The sequence below is a fragment of the Homo sapiens genome, chromosome 6, assembly GCF_000001405.40.
Source record: "Homo sapiens chromosome 6, GRCh38.p14 Primary Assembly".
NCBI lineage: Eukaryota > Metazoa > Chordata > Mammalia > Primates > Hominidae > Homo > Homo sapiens.
In genome coordinates this window covers 42,090,162-42,107,592 of record NC_000006.12, presented here as the reverse complement: position 1 = coordinate 42,107,592, position 17,431 = coordinate 42,090,162, and the positions used below count along the sequence as shown (strand labels likewise).

Sequence of the window (17,431 nt, the reverse complement as noted above, 5' to 3'; positions counted from 1 at the left end):
TTCTTTCAGGTACCAGCTCACTAGTCAATGGCAACCTCCGACTGTACAGCTCTGTGGGTGACCTGAGGCCTGGACAATATGGCCAGGATCTACTCATCCCCCCACCTCCCCCAGGCCCAGCCCCAGGGCCCCCTCAGGACATTTCAGAACCTCCAGGGGGGTCGCCACTGCCATCTCCACCTTCCACAGCACCCCCACCACCTCCCCTGCTGCTGGAACCCCCACCCCCGCCCAGCATGGCCCCACCTCCACCCCCAGTATTGGAGGCCCTATCCCCACCACACACTCTTTCCTCCCCATCCATACCCACCCCTCCTGACTTCATTCCCCCTGCCCCACCCTTGGCCTTTCTAGCCCCCCCACCGCCTCCTGTGCCAGCCCCAGCACCCCCAGCTCCAGCATCTCCTCACACAGTGGGGACTCGTCTCTTTCCCCCTGGGGGTGTCACCAAGTGGAAATCAGATGTAGCACTGAATGGCAGGCAGGCAGAGGCCACCAGAGCCAGCCCCCCGAGAAGCCCTGCTGAGCCAAAGGGGAGCGCCCTGGGACCTAACCCAGAGCCCCATCTCACCTTCCCCCGTTCTTTCAAAGTGCCTCCCCCAACCCCAGTCAGGACTTCGTCCATCCCAGTTCAGGAAGCACAAGAGGCTCCCCGAAAGGAAGAGGGGGCCACCAAGAAGGCTCCCAGCCGACTCCCACTGCCTCCCAGCTTCCACATCCGCCCCGCCTCCCAGGTCTACCCAGACAGGGCCCCCGAGCCAGACTGCCCTGGGGAGCTCAAGGCCACAGCACCAGCCAGCCCAAGGCTTGGCCAGTCCCAGTCCCAAGCAGATGAACGAGCTGGGACTCCGCCTCCAGCCCCTCCCCTGCCCCCTCCTGCACCCCCCCTCCCTCCCCCAGCACCCCCACTTCCCCCAGCTGCACCTCCTTTGCCCTGTGCTCAGAAGGCAGCCCATCCACCTGCTGGGTTTACAAAAACCCCTAAATCCAGCTCTCCTGCTCTCAAACCCAAACCCAACCCCCCCAGCCCAGAGAACACAGCGTCTTCAGCACCTGTGGACTGGAGGGACCCCAGCCAGATGGAAAAGCTGCGGAACGAGCTGGCAGCCTATCTCTGTGGCTCCAGGAGAGAGGACCGATTCCTCAGTCACAGGCCAGGCCCAACAGTGGCCCCTCAGAGCAAGGAGGGCAAGAAGGGCCCCCGCCTGCCTGAGAAGGAGACTCTCCTGAGCCTGCCAGCAAAGGACACTCCCCCAGGTGTTCCTGAAAAGAGTCTTGGCGGCAGCAGCCTGACAGAGACAGAGGCTGCCCCCAGCCTGACCCTGCCCTCTGTGGACTACATTCCCCAAGACTCTCCAACTCCCAGTGTGCGGCAGATCCGGAATGAGCTGGAGGCCCGGCTCTCCTCAGCAGCAGAGAAGGAGGCTAAGCCCAGCATAGGATCTCTGCCCCCTAAGCCTCGGCTAGAAGGGGGAAGAATTTGTGAAAACGGGGCTGATGATGACAAACTCTCCAAGCCTGTGGCCAAGAATCTGCCACCTCAATCCACCACCCTGCTGCCAACTACATCACTCCAGCCCAAGGCTATGTTGGGACCAGCCATACCACCCAAGGCCACACCTGAGCCAGCCATACCACCCAAGGCTACACTTTGGCCAGCCACACCACCCAAGGCCACACTTGGGCCAGCCACACCACTCAAGGCCACATCTGGGCCAACCACACCACTCAAGGCCACATCTGGCCCTGCCATAGCATCTACAGCCACAACTCTGCCCACCACCACATCCCAACTGATGGCAGAGAAGGACTCAGGCCCAGCTGGCCAGCCAGAGAAGCCAGCATCTCAAGAAGTTTCCACTCCCTCCCAGGCAAGGGGAGAGGGGTCCCCCTCAGAGGCCACTAGGCTGCCCACACAGGGAGCCCGCTCATCTGCAGCCTTCCCACCAAAGACATCTCCTGGTGGAGGAGAGGTGCCATGTCTCTACAAGCCCCACTGCCACCAGAGCAGCCTCAGCCGTGAGGTTGCTGTGGTGATGCCCACCCTGGCCAGAGGAGGGGCTGCAGGGCCAGGGGAGCCCGTGGAGGTGAAGGAGCCCCCAGGGCTGCCAGCCAAGCCTCCTGCCTCGGCCCAGCCCACTGATGAACTCCTCAGGCACCCGGTGACTGGGGAGGTGGTGGAGCGGGGCTCGCCGATGGCCCTGCTCCTGGCGGCCAGGCAGAGGGCTCAGAAGGGAAGGTCTGTAGGGGCTGCCCTGGGTCGGTCCTCTCTGCCAGGAAGTCTCCGTGACCACAGCCACCAAGCCGAGGCCAGCTCTGACAGCATCTTCCACAGCCAGGGCACGCCCAACTCCTTCACTGTGGTGCCCAAGTTACCCAAGGAGGCTGAGAAGGACTCCCCGCTGACGACCGAAATACCCAATAAGTGGGGGCCGCGGCTGGGAAGAGACGCAGAGGGCACAGAGCTGAGCCGCAGGCACAACTGGACAAAGCCAGAGCCCCAGGCCCCTGTGGCCTGGGAAAGAGTAGCTCCCTCCAACCTCCCCCAGGGCCACCCGCTGCCCAAGTCCTTCTCCTCCCCACCTTCTCCTTCGAACAAGAGGGAGGAGGAGGAGGAGGAGTTCAACTTCGAGGTCATCCCACCGCCGCCAGAGTTCAGCAATGACCCTGAGCCCCCGGCCCCGGCCCTCCAGTATCTGGGCCGCCAGAGCTCCCCTCCCCGGAACAACTACTCAGACTTGAGGCAGCTCCCGAACGCTGGCCCCGGGGCGCCCCCGGCTCTCGGCTTCTCGCGCTTTCCCGCGGGCGCGCGCTACGCCGGGGCTGGGGGCCTGGAGCGCTTCTCGGGAGGGGGCCGCTCGCTCATAAAGAAGCGCCTGTACGTCGGGGAGCCGCACCGAGGCCCAGGGCTACCCCACGGTGGCACCGGCCGCAGCCTGAGCTCTCCCAACTGCTTCGGGCCGCAGCCCGGAGGCCCCGAGATGCGGCGCGTGAACTCGGCGGGTCGCGCGCCCCCCGGAGGCCTGCACGCGCCGAGGCTGTCCCTGGAGGGCGCCGCCCGGGGCGCCGCGGAGGCCAAGCACAAAGCGCCCGGCAGCGCCGACTACGGCTTCGCCCCAGCTGCCGGCAGGTGAGCTGCGGGCCCGGCTGGTGCGGGAAGCCAGGAGGGGTGGAAAGCCAGGCGAGGGCCAAGGAGTCCCGGCCATCCGTCAAGAGAAAACATTTGGTTTTCTCCCTTCGGCCTTGCAGGTAGAACGCGGGAGGGAGGCCCACTTACCGGGAGAGGGCGCTGTTGGCGCCTTCCTGACCTCCCTCCTGACCTCCCTTCTCTTTCCCCACCAGCTCCTCTCGTCTGTCTCTCTCCTGCCCGCTAGATCCCAGAGGTCAGGCTAAGTGTGGGGCGGGGAGAGATCTGAGTGGCCCTTGGGTGGAGGGATTTCCCAACACAGAGTTGGATCCCGACACAGGCCAGGAGTGAAAGAGTTCTGAGTGAAAGGCTGTTAGGCATGTTCTCCGGCCAGCAGGGCCCAGACCAGAATGGGAGCCCTGTTTGTGATGTCTGCGGTCCCTCCCTGGGGTCGATAAGCCCAGGGCTTGTCGGGGCAAATACAGAAGTATGAGCAGCATCTTTTCCTCTCGGTCCCTCGGGGAGATGAGAGACGTGTTGGCTAACCAGCTGCAGATATTCACCTCACATCTCTTGCTCTCCCCCAGGTCTCCCTACACCACCACCCGCTATGGAAGCCCCATCAACACGTTCACCGTGAGGCCTGGGACCCGCCATCCCATCTCCTATGTCTGCTCAGGGGCCCATCGGAAAGCCACCTCCTGAGCCAGGGGTTCTCTTAGCTCTACTCCAACAAACTGTGTCTTTAAGGATCTGGGCACTTGTTTCTTGTGGGGGGTGGGAGGTACACAGCAGGTGTTGGGCGACCTGACTCAGACACAGAGGAGTCTTTGATCCCCAAAGACCAACGATGAGAAGCAGTGGCCCAGGAAGACCGAGAGTGGGCTTCTGTTTCCCAAAGCGCTGGTGTGACTGTGGACTGTTTACACGTGGGGGGTGGGAGGGGAAGGAGGGTAGAGAGAAGGAACCATTAAGGACCTGGGCGCTGAGTTTCTGCTCTCTGGTACTATCTGCTTTAGCAAGAGTTATTTAAAACAGTTTTACAAGCACGGCCTACTGAGCAGGTTCTGAAAGCAAGGGGTGGGGCACTGACTGAACTGGAACCCATCGAGATAGCTGTGATTGCCTGTCAGGCCCTTGCAAAGGGCTGAGGCCCAGCTCTGTCTGGTGGGTGTGCAGGGCACCGAAGGGAGATCTTTAGCCTCCATCACCTGCCATCCCAAGCAAGAGTGGACACCTGGGGTTCCTAGCCGCATTGAGGTGGGACCAGGAATGTGTATGTATAACATGTGGAGAAGGACCATGTGTGGGGTGGGGAGTGAAGCTCCCACATGTGGAATGGAAGCCCTTTGCATTGGCCAAGGGCAGAGGTGGGAGATTGATGGTTCATTTTTCCTTGGCCCTAGCCCTTAGCTACAGGGAGGCCTAGAGAGAGGACACTTGGCAAGTTTAGGATGGGAAACAAGGTTAAGCCTGGCTTTGCTATTCAGACCTGTGCAGCCCTGATTTTGGGGACTGGGCCCAAGGAGCCATGAGTCTTAGGCTTGACACTAGGGGCCTTACATGGCCAGGTCTCATATGGGATTTGGAGAAGGCATTTTTCCTAACACTGATACTACAAGTCACCAATACTCTTGATGCCTTAAGATGCTAGAAAGCCTTGGAGAGTGGAGGCAGCAGAGATGGGAATGGAGGTCTGAAGAAGCTTGCTGCTGTTGGGGAATGTGTTTGGGAAAGTCAAGAGTGGTAGGATTGGTTGGCTGGGCGCGGTGGCTCACACCTGTAATCCCAGCACTTTGGGAGGCCGAGGCCGGTGGATCACTTGAGGTCAGAAGTTCGAGACCAGCCTGCCCAAATGGTGAAACCCCATCTCTACTAAAAATACGGAAAAAAAAAAAAAAAGAGTGCTAGGATTGGGCCAGTTAAGAGCAGGGGAGACCTGGCTGGGCATGGTGGCTCACACCTGTAATTCTAGCACTTTGGGAGGCTGAGGCGGGTGGATCATGAGGTCAAGAGATTAAGACCATCCTGGCCTACATGGCGAAACCCTGTCTCTACTAAAAATAAAAAAATGACCTGGGCATGGTGGTGGGCGCCTGTAGTCCCAGCTACTCGGGGCGCTGAGGCAGGAGAATCGCTCGAACCCAGGAGGTGGAGGTTGCAGTGAGCCGAGATTGCACAATTGCACTCCAGCCTGGCGACAGAGCGAGACTCGTCTCAAAAAAAAAAAAAAAAAAAAAAAAAGGAGCAGGGGAGACCTATCAGTAGGGTGACCACGTGTCCTTTGCCTGGGCAGTCCAGGTTTATGCTTGTTTTCCAGTGAATTAGACCCCCTTCCACTTTTCAAAAAAGTCCTGGTTTAGATGCTGTGATCACCAAACATATCAGGAAACAATATTCCTTGGTCTTGCTTCCCTATCTTCAGGTACTGGTGGGCCAAATTCCTGGGACCAGGTCAAGGTGGGCTGCCTCAGTAAGAAGGAAGGACTGGAGAGTGCCCATTTCAGAGGAGCAGGCTGGTGGGGGCCAGCCAGAAAGTAGTTCCCTTTGGGGGGAAGATGTTGGACCTTTATTATTTGTGGTAACCAGCCGAGGCTGGTTGTCAGGACAGCAGGTGAGCCACTTTAGGGAAGAAAGTGCAGGGGTGGGTGGATGCCCAGATTACCAAGGCCAGCCACCCTGATGGGGTAGGGTCTGGTTATCTGTGTTCAAGAAGCAAATCCCACCCCAGCCCCAGCACTAGCTCTCTATGTATGTATTTTCCCTGTACAATGTTTTATAAAAGAGATCATTAATTTATCTGCTATGTTAAGGCTCGAGGGGTGGGGCGTAGACTCTCAGCTGTATATTGCTCTGGGGTGGGCAGGGAAGGCTGAGTCTCACTTGACTTGGAAGATAAACAGGCCAGTTTGGACTGGCCTCCAGCTCCGTGGCTGTGTTTGTCTAACAAGGATTTGGGTAACTACTGGATACAAGCCACTGTGCTTAGTATGGATAGACTGCCATCAGCTCACCCACATGACTCCTGTTCATGGCAAGCTAATAGTCTGTCTGGTGGAAGAGGATTGAAAAAGCACACAAAAACATCATAAATTACAAGGAGTAGTAAGAAGGAAAAAACAGGGAACGTGAGAGAATAACTAGCGAGTGGGGAGAGGAGTGGATTTACTTTAACAGGGTAGTCAGGGAAGGCCTCTTGTGGTGGTGACATACTGATTTAGGCAAAGCGTCCAGCACGTGCCTAGCGCTTAGTAGTTGCTCAGCAAATGGCATCTTTGGGTGATGAATACCTCACATTTGTATATGGCCTGTCACAGTTTTCCATAAAGCTTTTTTTTTTAAGGCCATCTTGACGTCATACTTTTAGAATATTTTATTTTATTATTATTATTATTTTAGACGGAACCTTGCTCTTTCACCAGGCTGGAGTGGAGTGGCATGATCTTGGCTCACTGCAACCTCTGCCTCCCAGGTTCAAGCGATTCCCTGCCTCAGCCTCCTGAGTAGCTGGGACTACAGGCATGCGCCACCACACCCAGCTAATTTTTGTATTTTTTAGTAGCGATGGGGTTTTACTGTGTTGCCCAGGCTGTTCTTGAACTCCTGACCTCATGATCCACCCACTTCGGCCTCCCAAAGTGCTGGGTGGGCGTGAGCCACCGCACCCGGCCCCCAATTTTTTTTTTCCAAAAAAGTAACCAGAAAAGTCATCTCAAGACAGTGTTAGAGAAAGCGTTGTGTTTCCTCCTCTGAGTCTTTTGTGGGGGCTTTATGGGAAAGGGAGGATGACTCACTTACTCTGAAATCTGGGCTTCCAGGAAGGGCCTCTCCCATCCTTGGAGCCTCCTCATTCTCCTGTCTCTCACTGTCCCCCCACCTCTACCATGATGTCCTCATTCTGGAAACCCCGAGCAGGGATAGTGGCTTGGGCCCTTCGTCTGGCTTTTCTCCCCACACTTGCTCCCTTCTAACATTTTCTCCCTCATCTGACATGGAAGGGGCAATGGTTAACCCAGGAGGGAGGGCAGAGAACAAGGGCCCCACATCCTGGCTCTGCCTCTGACAAGCTGTGTGACCTTGGGTATCAGCTGACTCATCGGAGAAGTGAGGAGGACGGACTTGGGCCGTGTCTGGATATTAAACTTTGTTGGGTCCCTGACCTCTTTGAGAAACTGATGCATGCTTCTCAAGAGGCCGCAAGTGCATTTTACACACTATTTCAGGCACCCCACAGATCCCCCAGATTCAGGCTCCACAGGCTTCATGTTGAAAACTCCTTAAGTGACAGTGGTCAAGGTACCCACCAACACTTATTTAACCTTGACAGTTTGCAAAGTTCCTTCTCTCTCTCGTTTACCTGTGACAGTCCTCTAAAATGTGCCAGCCGTGTAATACTCCTAATTGCATTTTGTTGTTGAGGAAATGAAGGCCCCGGGAAGAGACGTGAGTTGCTCAGAATGGCCCCTCTGACTGGAAACCCTGTTCTTTCTGCGTGAATCATCACAGCTGCCTCCCTTATAGCTGTAACCACTCTCCCCACCCACTTATCCTCTCCCGGTTGTACTCCCCAAACTTTACCTCTATTAGAGTGGTGGAGAAGAGGCTGAGTAGGCTAAAGCTACCCTGGTGCCAAAAAAGGTTAATGGGCATGGGCGGGGCAGATGTTCCTGGATCAGATTAGCCACACCTTGGTTTCTGAAGCCGTTTCACTGTTCCCTGGGCCAGAACTCCACCCCACCTCTCTTGTGAAGCCCAGCCTGGCCGAAAGCAACAGCTAGGACAGGTCCCGGGAAAAGCTGAGCTGGAAGCCTGGGGCCTGGCGCCAGCAATATATAAAGGGGCCTGTCGTGAAAAAGGTCAAGCTCAGCTTTTGTCACGGCCAGGCTTGTTCAAGGAGAGAGGCTTCCCCTCACTCCCGGTGAGCCCTTCTGTGCAAAGCTGTAGGACAGAGGTGACTCCGGAACCTGGAGGGGTGAGGCAGAGGCCACCTCGCTGCTGAGCTGTCAGGCAGGCCTGCCCCCACCTGCCTACCCAGGCAGACTGTGGCCACTTCCCTTTCAGCAGCTCAAAGGCCATGCTCATGCCCCATCATCAGTCAGCTGTATGGGAAGGGTGGACACTGGCACCCATCAGAGAGCCTGGGCCCCCTCCCTCCGAAGCCCCAGGGATGGCCAGAGTCTGAGCCCTGCTGTTGGGGCCTCTGGGATGCTTTTTGCCAGCAATGTGAGAAAAGGTGCTCTTCTGGGAGAGAGGAAGAGACCCAGGCAATTTATTATGAATGCTCCCCGTTGTATGGATAATCCTGTGCTCCTCTGCCCAATTCCCGCACCTCTGGAAACTTCATTCACATTTGGCACAGATGAGCCACTCCTCCCTCCTTCCCCTTGAGAATCGTTCTCTGAGCCTGTGCAGAACAAGGTGCTCCGATCCTCTATCTTGCACACTGGCTCCTTTCCTCCCCCCAACTGTCTCCCTGTCCACCCTGTCGTCGGCTCTCCAGTCCTCCTTCTGTAGTTTCTTCCTCAGAAGACAGTGTCGCCCCTCATGCTCACCTGTACCAGGGGTCCATATTTCTAACTTTGGAAGTGCCTCCTGGACATGTCCATGTGGTTGCCTGGCCATCCACTCAAATCCAGCCTCTCCAAAAGGAATGATTCTCCCCTACTTCCTTCTCACACAATTGTGTGGCCAGAGTAGCCGGACCAATGGCTCCAAACTACCCCCAAATACTCATCCCCGCCTCACTGCTTGGGCCCCCTTGGCTTCCCCTAGGCCAGCTCACACTCAAGGTCCAGCTTGGATCGGAGCTCCTACAGGAAGCCTTCCCCAGCCCTGCTCTGCTCGGAGACCTCTTCCTCCTCCATACCTACCTCTCCCACTTCTGTGGCAGGCTCTTCTTTATCCTCAGGCTTCAGCTCAGACATCCCTCACCTGCTAGGCCACAGCAGCTCCTGCAAAGCTTCCCACGGTCCCTGCTGCTCTCCCTCCCCGCACCTAGTGTTACTTGGTCTACATCTCTCTCCCAGCAACTTGTAAGCTCCACAACGTAAGGACGCCTCACTCATCACAGTATCCCCAGCATCTGGTGCTGCTCCTGGCACCAGCAGGTGCTCACTATATTGAGTTTATTGATGAATACAAGTTAGTACTTAATCAAATATCATCAAGCACTGTGTAAGTTCCTTGGCTGGGCGCGGTGGCTGACACCTGTAATCCCAGCACTTTGGGAAGGTCGAGAGGGATGGATCACGAGGTCAGGAGTTCAAGACCAGCCTGACCAACATGGTGAAACCCTGTCTCTACTAAAAATACAAAAAAATTAGCCAGGCGTGGTGGTACACGCCTGTAATCCCAGCTACTCAGGAGGCTGAGGCAGGAGAATTGCTTGAATCTGGGAGGTGGAAGTTGCAGTGTGGAACTTAATCTAATGCTGAGGTTATCAGGCTGAGGGAAGGTTTAGTTTTAGGGATGAGTCTCTAAGGTCTCATCATAAAGGTGTCCAGATGCCTTGGAGTGGCTCCTGCCTGGTGGGCTGAGATACTGCATCCTCTAAGTAGAGACATGAGCTAGGATGTTATGGCACCAGGTGAGGGAGTCCTGGTCCTCAAAGGATCTCAGGCAGCCCTCTACACCCCACCAGTGAGCCAGCCACAGGGGCGGCCAGCTCCAACAATCCAAGTGACTTGCACTCTGTTGCTTTTTCCCTTTTGAGCTCCTTTGGTCTTCAGCAAACTTACTTGGTGCCACAGCCTATCTCAGCTGTGGACCAAGGGTAAAGTTTCCATTACATGTGGGCGGGAGAATTGAGAAGGAAAGCACCTCTGGGGGCCAGGGTGGCAGAAGCCAGCCAGGTCCGACCTGTTCACCAGCCCTCCCCACCTGCAGAGCCCACCTTCAAGAGGAAAGCCTTACAGTTCTAGGTTTGGTTTTTATTAAGGAGTGAGCTCCCTGCACAAGGTTTTGAGGGCCTAGCAGGGGTCTAAGCACAGAGTGGGGACCCAGTAGACTTGCTGTTTTGAATCTCTTCCATCTCAGCATAGGATCATTAGCCCTAATGCTACTCTCAGAAGTGGGACACTGGCTTCTCATTTTCTTTTCTTTCTTTCTTTCTTTTTTTTTTTTTTCCTGAGGCAGGGTCTTGCTCTGTCGCCCAGGCTGGAGTGCAATAGTGCCATCATAGGTCACAGCCTCCAGAGCTCAAGTGATCCACCTCAGCCTTCCTGGTAGCTGGGACTACAGGCATTCACCACCAGGCCTGGCTAATTTTTTTTTTTTTTTTGAGATGGAGTCTTGCCTTGTCGCCCAGGCTGGAGTGCAGTGGTGTGAGATCGGCTCACTGCAACCTCCACCCCCCATGTTCAAGCAATTCTCTGCCTCAGCCTCCTGAGTAGCTAGGATTACAGGCGCCCGCCACCACACCTGGCTAATTTTTGTATTTTTAGTAGAAACAGGATTTCACCATCTTGGCCAGGCTGGTCTTGAACTCCTGACCTTGTGATCCACCCGCCTCGGCCTCCCAAAGTGCTGGGATTACAGGCGTGAGCCACCGTGCTCTTCCTAATTTTTGTCTTTATTTTTTGTAGAGACACGGTCTCGTTAGGTTGCCCAGGCTGGTCTTGAACTCTTGGGCTCAAGCAATCCTTCTGCCTCAGCCTCCCAAAGTGCTGGGATTACGGGCAAGAGCCACCGCACTTATACTCCCTTCTCATTCTTGAAAATGGAATATTTTCAGTCTTGTCTTCTACAGACTGAGCCTTCTGACTCCTTTCAGCTTTCCTCACTGCAGAGAAGCATCTCCTGCCGCTTTTCATTGTTGCCTTAGTTTATTTTCTGAGCCATTCAAGAGGGTTTGGTAGGCTCCTACTTTCTCTGTCTCTCTCTGGGCTACCCCATCTGTCATCTTCCTGCCTTTTGGTTCACAACTTTCCAGCATTTGTTCTAATAGCTAAGGGCAGCACAGAATTCCACCAATGCAATTCAACACTGCGAGGGGGCGCCACTCAGTACAAGCCAAGGAACCTCGCAAGAGGCTCACAGTTGAGTGTGGAAGACAGACGTACACACAAATAACTGGACTATGGAGCAGGAGAATGCAAAGCTCTTCCACCCAGGAGAGCCCGGTGGCCCAAGAGAGCACGGGACCACATGGGGCACTGTTGGGTTGTCCTTGTGGGTGTCCTCTCTTGCTGGCCTGTGACCCTTGTGGGAGCACGTGCATGAGCTGGGCAGAGGAATGAGGGATGCCCTTTGTGTGCTTATTTTTCCTACAGAGTGAGTTGTGGTCTTTCGGTGACCTCTCTTGGCCATTTAAAGCTGCCCTTGACATTCACTTTAACTGGATTCTCCAGGGAGAGGAGAGGGGAGTGCCAGAAGGCACCTGTGTAATTTACCCTGGTGTCCAGCACCGCAGTCTTAGCCTGGCATCCCCGTGTGTGCATGTGGAGTGGGCATTAGCCAACAGGTGGCACTTTGCTCACAAGTGCCTGAAGTTTGTGTGACTGGTGGGGTTCAGGTTCAGACTGAGATCCATCTGAGGTTGACATGGCTTCTCCTAGGATCCAGGCACAAAGCTAGGTGCTGTCTGGCACACCAGTCATTCTCAAAACTCAGAAGTGCATCAGAAGCACTTGTCAAAACACAGGTGTGTGGGACTTGTTCCAAAGCTCCTGATTCAGTGGGTTTGGGATGGGGCTGGGGAATTCACATGTCTTTCTTTTTTTGTTGTTTTTTGAGATGGAGTCTCACTCTGTCTCCCAGGCTGGAGTGCAGTGGTGCGATCTCGGTTCACTGCAACCTCTGTCTCCTGGGTTCAAGCAATTCTCCTGCCTCAGCCTCCCGAGTAGCTGGGATTACAGGCACCCACCAACATGCCTGGCTAATTTTTGTATTTTTAATAGAAATGGGGTTTCATCATGTTGGTGAGGATGGTCTCGAACTCCTGACCTCAGGTGATCCACCCACCTCGGCCTCCCAAAGTGCTGGGGTTACAGCGTGAGCCACCACACCTGGCTGGGAATTCACATTTCTAACAAGTTTCCAGATGAGGCTGCAAGTCCTGATGGTACAGGGATGGCACTTTGAGAACCCCTGCTGTGCAGTGTCATGTGTCATCACCTCATCTCCCTTAGGGCAGATAGTGCCACTCCCAGCTTACCAAAGAAGAAACTACAGCCTCCACAGGCCAAGTGACCTTGCCAAGGCCACACAGCTGGAGGGTGCTAGGGAGCCAAACTGCACCTGCTGCACTGCCTTTTGCCCCCAGGGCAATGTGGCTGGGGTGGGTGTGACAGCATCTCTCCAAATTTTTGTTCCAGAGAGGGCAGTAAGTAGAGAGGGCAGGCTTGGGGTAAGCAGTACTGGGAGGTGGTCATAGAGTCACTGTTAGGCTAACAGTCATTCCTTGGGTGGCCATAATGTTTTAAAGACACTTTCAGCAAGGCACAGTGGTGCATGCCTGTAGCCCCAGCTACTTGAGAGGCTTGCTTGAGCCCAGGAGTTTGAGACTGGCCTAGGCAACATAGTGAGACCTCATCTCAAAAAATATTTAAAAATAAAAATAAGATACTTTTGCTTCTATCTATCTATCTATCTATCTATCTATCTATCTATCTATCTACCTATCTTAGAGACCGGGTCTTACTGTGTTGCCCAGGCTGCTGTGCAGTGGCATGACCATGGCTCACTGAATCCTTGAACTCCTGGACTCAAGTGATCCTCCCACTCAGCCTCCTGAGTAGCTGGGACTACAGGTGCACACCACCATGCCTCACTAATTAAAAACATTTTTTTTTTTAAAGATGGGGTGTAGGCCGGGCACGGTGGCTCACGCCTGTAATCCCAGCACTTTGAGAGGTTGAGGTGGGCAGATTACGAGGTCAAAAGATCGAGACCAGCCTGGCCAACATGGTGAAACCCCATCTCTACTGAAAATACAAAAATTAGCTGGGCGTGGTCACGCGCACCTGTAGTCTCAGCTATTCGGGAGGCTGAGGCAGGAGAATCACTTGAACCCAGGAGGCGGAGGTTTCAGTAAGCCGAGATTGCGCCACTGCACTCCAGCCTGGCGACAGAGTGAGACTCCATCTCAAAAAAAAAAAAAAAAAAAAAAAAGATGGGGTGTCGCTGTGTTGCTCAGGCTTGCTTCTGTTTCAATCAAGCCTCATGATACTGGTCAGCAAGCACTCACAATGGGTGCTACACTGTCTCCCTGACCCTCTCCCTTTCCAGGACTGAAGCTTTCACACCCCCAGCCAGCAGCTGGCAGTCCCTCCCCAGGAACTGTCCTTCCCGGGAGAGCCACCTCACCCAAGGTCACGCCCACACCCTAGAGGCAGCTCACATTCACTAAGTCCCTCCCCTCAATGCGGGACAACTCTGAAGGTCCTTGCAGACCAGGGCGCCCCTCCATTGCAAGTGCAGGCAGCCCAGCTTTTCCCTGTGCTCACTTCTCCCTCTCCCATGCCAGTGTGCTTCTTGAGGGCACTCCCAGCAAACTTGCTGCACACAAACCTCAGTCTCCTGGGGAGCCTGTCCTGCAACAGCTTATTAGGTACCAGGCACGATCCTAGGCACTTTACGCATATTATTTCATACTATCCTCCCAACAACCCCAAGAGGCAGGCACTTTTATTATCAAAGGCTATGTAACTTGTCCAAGGTCACAGAGCTAGCAAGCCAGAGAGCCAGGGTTGTCATGCAGGGAGTTGGGCTCCGGGGCTCTGAAATGTTACAACACTGTCTTAATTCCTATAGTCTAGCTTGAGGAAATTAGACAGAAGAAACAGTGAAGATGTATTCTGATTTGAGGGGGGAATAAATCTCAGCCGGGCACGGTGGCTCATGCCTATAATCCCAGCACTTTGGGAAGTTGAGGCGGGTGGATCATTTGAAGTCAGGAGTAGAAACTAGCCCCATTTCTACTAAAAATACAAAAGAAAAAATTAGCCGCGTGTGGTGGTGGGTGCCTGTAATCCCAGCTACTCAGGAGGCTGAGGCAGGAGAATCGCTTGAACCCAGGACACAGAGGTTGCAGTGAGTCGAGATCGCGACACTGCACTCCAGCCTAGGGGACAGAACAAGACTCCGTCTCAAAAAAAAAAAAAAATCTCTGTTGCCCCAGTTTTCTACCAGTCTCACTTTAGTTTCTGAATATGCAGCCCCCTGGTGTCTTAGTTGACTTTAATGGTTCTTATCCAGGGCCAATTTTGCTTCCCAGAGGATATTTGGTGATATCTGGAAGATCTGGAGATATTTTTTCATTGACATCCTAGGGGGATAGTAAGGGCATTCAGCAGGTAGAGGCCAAGGGTGCTACTAAATGTCCTACAATGTACAGGGCAGCCTCCCACAACAAATCTAGCTAAATGTCGGTAGTACTGAGGTTGAGAAACCCTGTGCTCTAGCTGGAAGCCTGGTGTCCTGGCTGGTTTTACCCTGAAGGAGTCCCAGTGTGATGACTGCTTGGGAGTGGACTTTGGTGAAGGTGGTGAGAGATACTTGAGCATGGGAGTGGAGAGAAGGTTTGGAGGGCAAACCTCCAAGGATTTCATGATCCTTGAAGGACAAATATTATCCCAAGTTAGTTCAAGGGAAGATCACACAGAGCTTCTGGTTAATAGCAGTGGCTGAGCTCTGAAGGCACCCCTTTTCCTCGACCAGGAAGCTCCTAGGGTAATGTAGTGGACCAGGCATTTCCTACCCTCCTCCCAACTCCCCTGTAAACGTGTACACTGATGGCCGGGCACATCTGTAATCCTGTGTAGCTCACACCTGTAATCCCAGCACTGTGGGAGGCTGAGGCAGGCGAATCACTTGAGGCCAGGAATTGGAGACCGGCCTCACCAACATGGCAAAACCCTGTCTCTACTAAAAATACAAAAATTAGCCAGCTGTGGTTGTGCACGCCTGTAATCCCAGCTACTGGGGAGGCTGAGGCAGGAGAATCGTTTGAACTCGGGAGGTGGAGGTTGCAGTCAGCCGAGATCACACCACTGCACTCCAGCCTGGGTGACAGAGCGAGATACTGTCTCTAAAAAAAAAAGAAAAAAAATTAAATAACCTAGAATGGGCAGGGGGTTGTGGGGGATCCTCCTCCCTAAGCGCTTATCTTGGTGCTTCCAGCTCAGTCTGGCCAATTCCACCTCTATGAGATAAGGAGGGTTCAGAGAACCCAGTCACTTTGCTGTTTTTCTGCCCACAAGTTTCTCTAATAAATCTTATTCTATGTCTACACAGCATGGCTAGAGGTGAGTGTTCTGAGCCCCTGCATGCCCAGGCCTTACCAAGGAATACCACCTTAAACAGTCAGTTCACTACTTCCCTACCACATGGTACATTTGTCTAGGGCAGCTAAGAGGGGGCAGGGAATAGTGGCCCACTGCAGAACAAAACAAAATAAAACAATATGACAAAAACAAAGAGAACACAACCACCAGATGGGATCAAGCTGTTCGGGAAGGCAGGGAACTGCAGCCCAACAATCCTTCCAAGTATTCTAGATGGGTTCTTTCCTTGGATCTATCGAGAGGTAAGCCTGGGATAACAGACATGACGTCCTCAACTCTCACCCACCCTGATGACTTCCAGCCCTCCCCCGAATGCCACTCATGGAGCCAGCTACCAACTCAGTGTTTCCACTTGGCTGCCTAATGGCATCTCGCACTTAACAGGTGCACAGCTGAGCGAGCACCTGAGTCCCGCCTGGCCTCCCACACCCAGAGCCTTCTCCACCTCAGGGCGCAGAGCCGCATTCTTCCCTGACCACTCTTCACACACCACTTCCAATCCCTTGGCAAATCTTGTCAGTTTAACTTTAAGATACACCCACCATTTCTGACTTTTTTTTCTTTTCTTTTTTTTGTTTTGTTTTGTTTTTTGTTTTTTGTGTTTTTTTGAGACAGGGTCTCACTGGAGTTCCGTGATGCAATCATAGCTCACTGCAGCCTTGACCTCCTGGGCACAAGTGATCCTCCTACCTTAGCCTCCCAAGTAGCTGGTACCAGAGGCACACACCACCATGCCTGGCTAATTTTTTTTATTGTTAATTTTTTGTAGAGACGGGGTCTCCCTATGTTGCCCGGGCTGGTCTTGAACTCCTGGGCTCAAGCGATCCTCCCACTTTGGTCTCCCAAACTGCTGGGATTACAGGCGTGAACCACCACACCTGGCCCCTGATTATCTCTTACCTCCTCAACTGTCACACAGTTAGTCCAAGCCACTATCATTTTTTTGCCTTCTGCCTGGTCTTCCTGCTGCTACATTTATGATGGAAGTCAATTCTTAACACAGCGTCCAGGATGAGCTTGTTAAACCTAAGTCAGGTGATCTCACTCCTCTGTTTGGCCCACCCCTTCATGGTAAACACTGTTATCATTAGGATGCCCACAAGACCCCACATGCTCCAACGCTCTCTTACTCCTGCCCCTTACCACTCCATGCTGGCCACACTGAACTCCTTAAATACGCTAAGCCCACTCTTGCCTCAGGGCCTTTGCACTGGCTATTCCTGTGTCACCCAATGCTCTTTTCCATTGGTCTCAATTCAAATGTCACCCTCTTGGAGAGGAGAGGACTTCCGTAATCACTCCATTAAAGGGCCATACCCCAGGCTGGGCACGGTGGCTCATGCCTGTAATCCCAGCACTTTGGGAGGCTGAGGTGGGTGAATAGCTTGAGACCAGGAGTTTGAGACCAGCCTGGGCAACATGGTGAAACCTCGTCGCTACTAAAAATAAAAAAATTAGCAGGGCATGGTGGCGTGCGCCTATAGTCCCAGCTACTTGGGGGGCTGAGGTGGGAAGACTGATTGAGCCAGGGCAACTGAGTGAGCTGAGATCACGCCACTGCACTCCAGCCTGGGTGACACAGCGAGACCCTGTCTCTAATTAAATAAATAAATAAATAAATGGCAATGCCCTTCCTCCTCCACACCCTCTATTCTCGTTACCCTGCTTAATTTTTTCCCTCAGCATTTATTGCCATCTTATGTATATTTATTTGTTTATTCCTGGCCCTCTTCCTCCTCACGCCCAAATTGACTTATCTAAAGTCCATTTTCCACTGGTTCTGCTTTTTAATTTCTTTCTTTTTCTTTTTTCCCCAGATGAAGTCTCACTCTGTTGCCCAAGCTGGAGTGCAGTGGCGCGATCTCGGCTCACTGCAACCTCCACTTCCTGGGTTCACACGATTCTACTGCCTCAGCCTCCCGAGTAGCTGGGACTACAGGCACGTGCCACCATGCCTGGCTAATTTTTTTGTATTTTTAGTAGAGACGGGGTATCACTATGTTGGCCAGGCTGGTCTCAA

At 53.7% G+C, this 17,431-nt stretch overlaps 1 protein-coding gene across 2 annotated transcripts in view, besides 4 other annotated features; it reads left to right on the top strand.

Annotated features, from left to right (window-relative positions):
• The window catches only part of C6orf132 (chromosome 6 open reading frame 132), a 41,502-nt gene extending 35,028 nt beyond the window's left edge, over positions 1 to 6,474 (top strand). For both annotated transcript variants that reach the window (NM_001164446.3, XM_047419258.1), the window contains 2 exons: positions 10 to 3,130; positions 3,715 to 6,474. In NM_001164446.3, the coding sequence (NP_001157918.1) occupies positions 10 to 3,130; positions 3,715 to 3,832 (3,239 nt within the window). In that variant the 3' untranslated portion in view covers positions 3,833 to 6,474. The remainder of the gene's footprint in view (positions 1 to 9; positions 3,131 to 3,714) is intronic.
• Positions 2,770 to 2,919: a silencer, noted in NCBI's record as "silent region_17200". NCBI's record gives its function as "represses an Ori minimal core promoter by ATAC-STARR-seq in GM12878 lymphoblastoid cells {active_cell/tissue: GM12878}" and the evidence as "EXISTENCE:reporter gene assay evidence [ECO:0000049][PMID:35858748]".
• Positions 2,940 to 3,039: a silencer, noted in NCBI's record as "silent region_17199". NCBI's record gives its function as "represses an Ori minimal core promoter by ATAC-STARR-seq in GM12878 lymphoblastoid cells {active_cell/tissue: GM12878}" and the evidence as "EXISTENCE:reporter gene assay evidence [ECO:0000049][PMID:35858748]".
• Positions 3,200 to 3,249: a silencer, noted in NCBI's record as "silent region_17198". NCBI's record gives its function as "represses an Ori minimal core promoter by ATAC-STARR-seq in GM12878 lymphoblastoid cells {active_cell/tissue: GM12878}" and the evidence as "EXISTENCE:reporter gene assay evidence [ECO:0000049][PMID:35858748]".
• Positions 7,157 to 7,378: a silencer, noted in NCBI's record as "fragment chr6:42067953-42068174 (GRCh37/hg19 assembly coordinates)". NCBI's record gives its function as "represses an EF-1alpha promoter that drives an FKBP-Casp9 reporter gene in an ReSE screen in K562 erythroleukemia cells {active_cell/tissue: K562}" and the evidence as "EXISTENCE:reporter gene assay evidence [ECO:0000049][PMID:32094911]".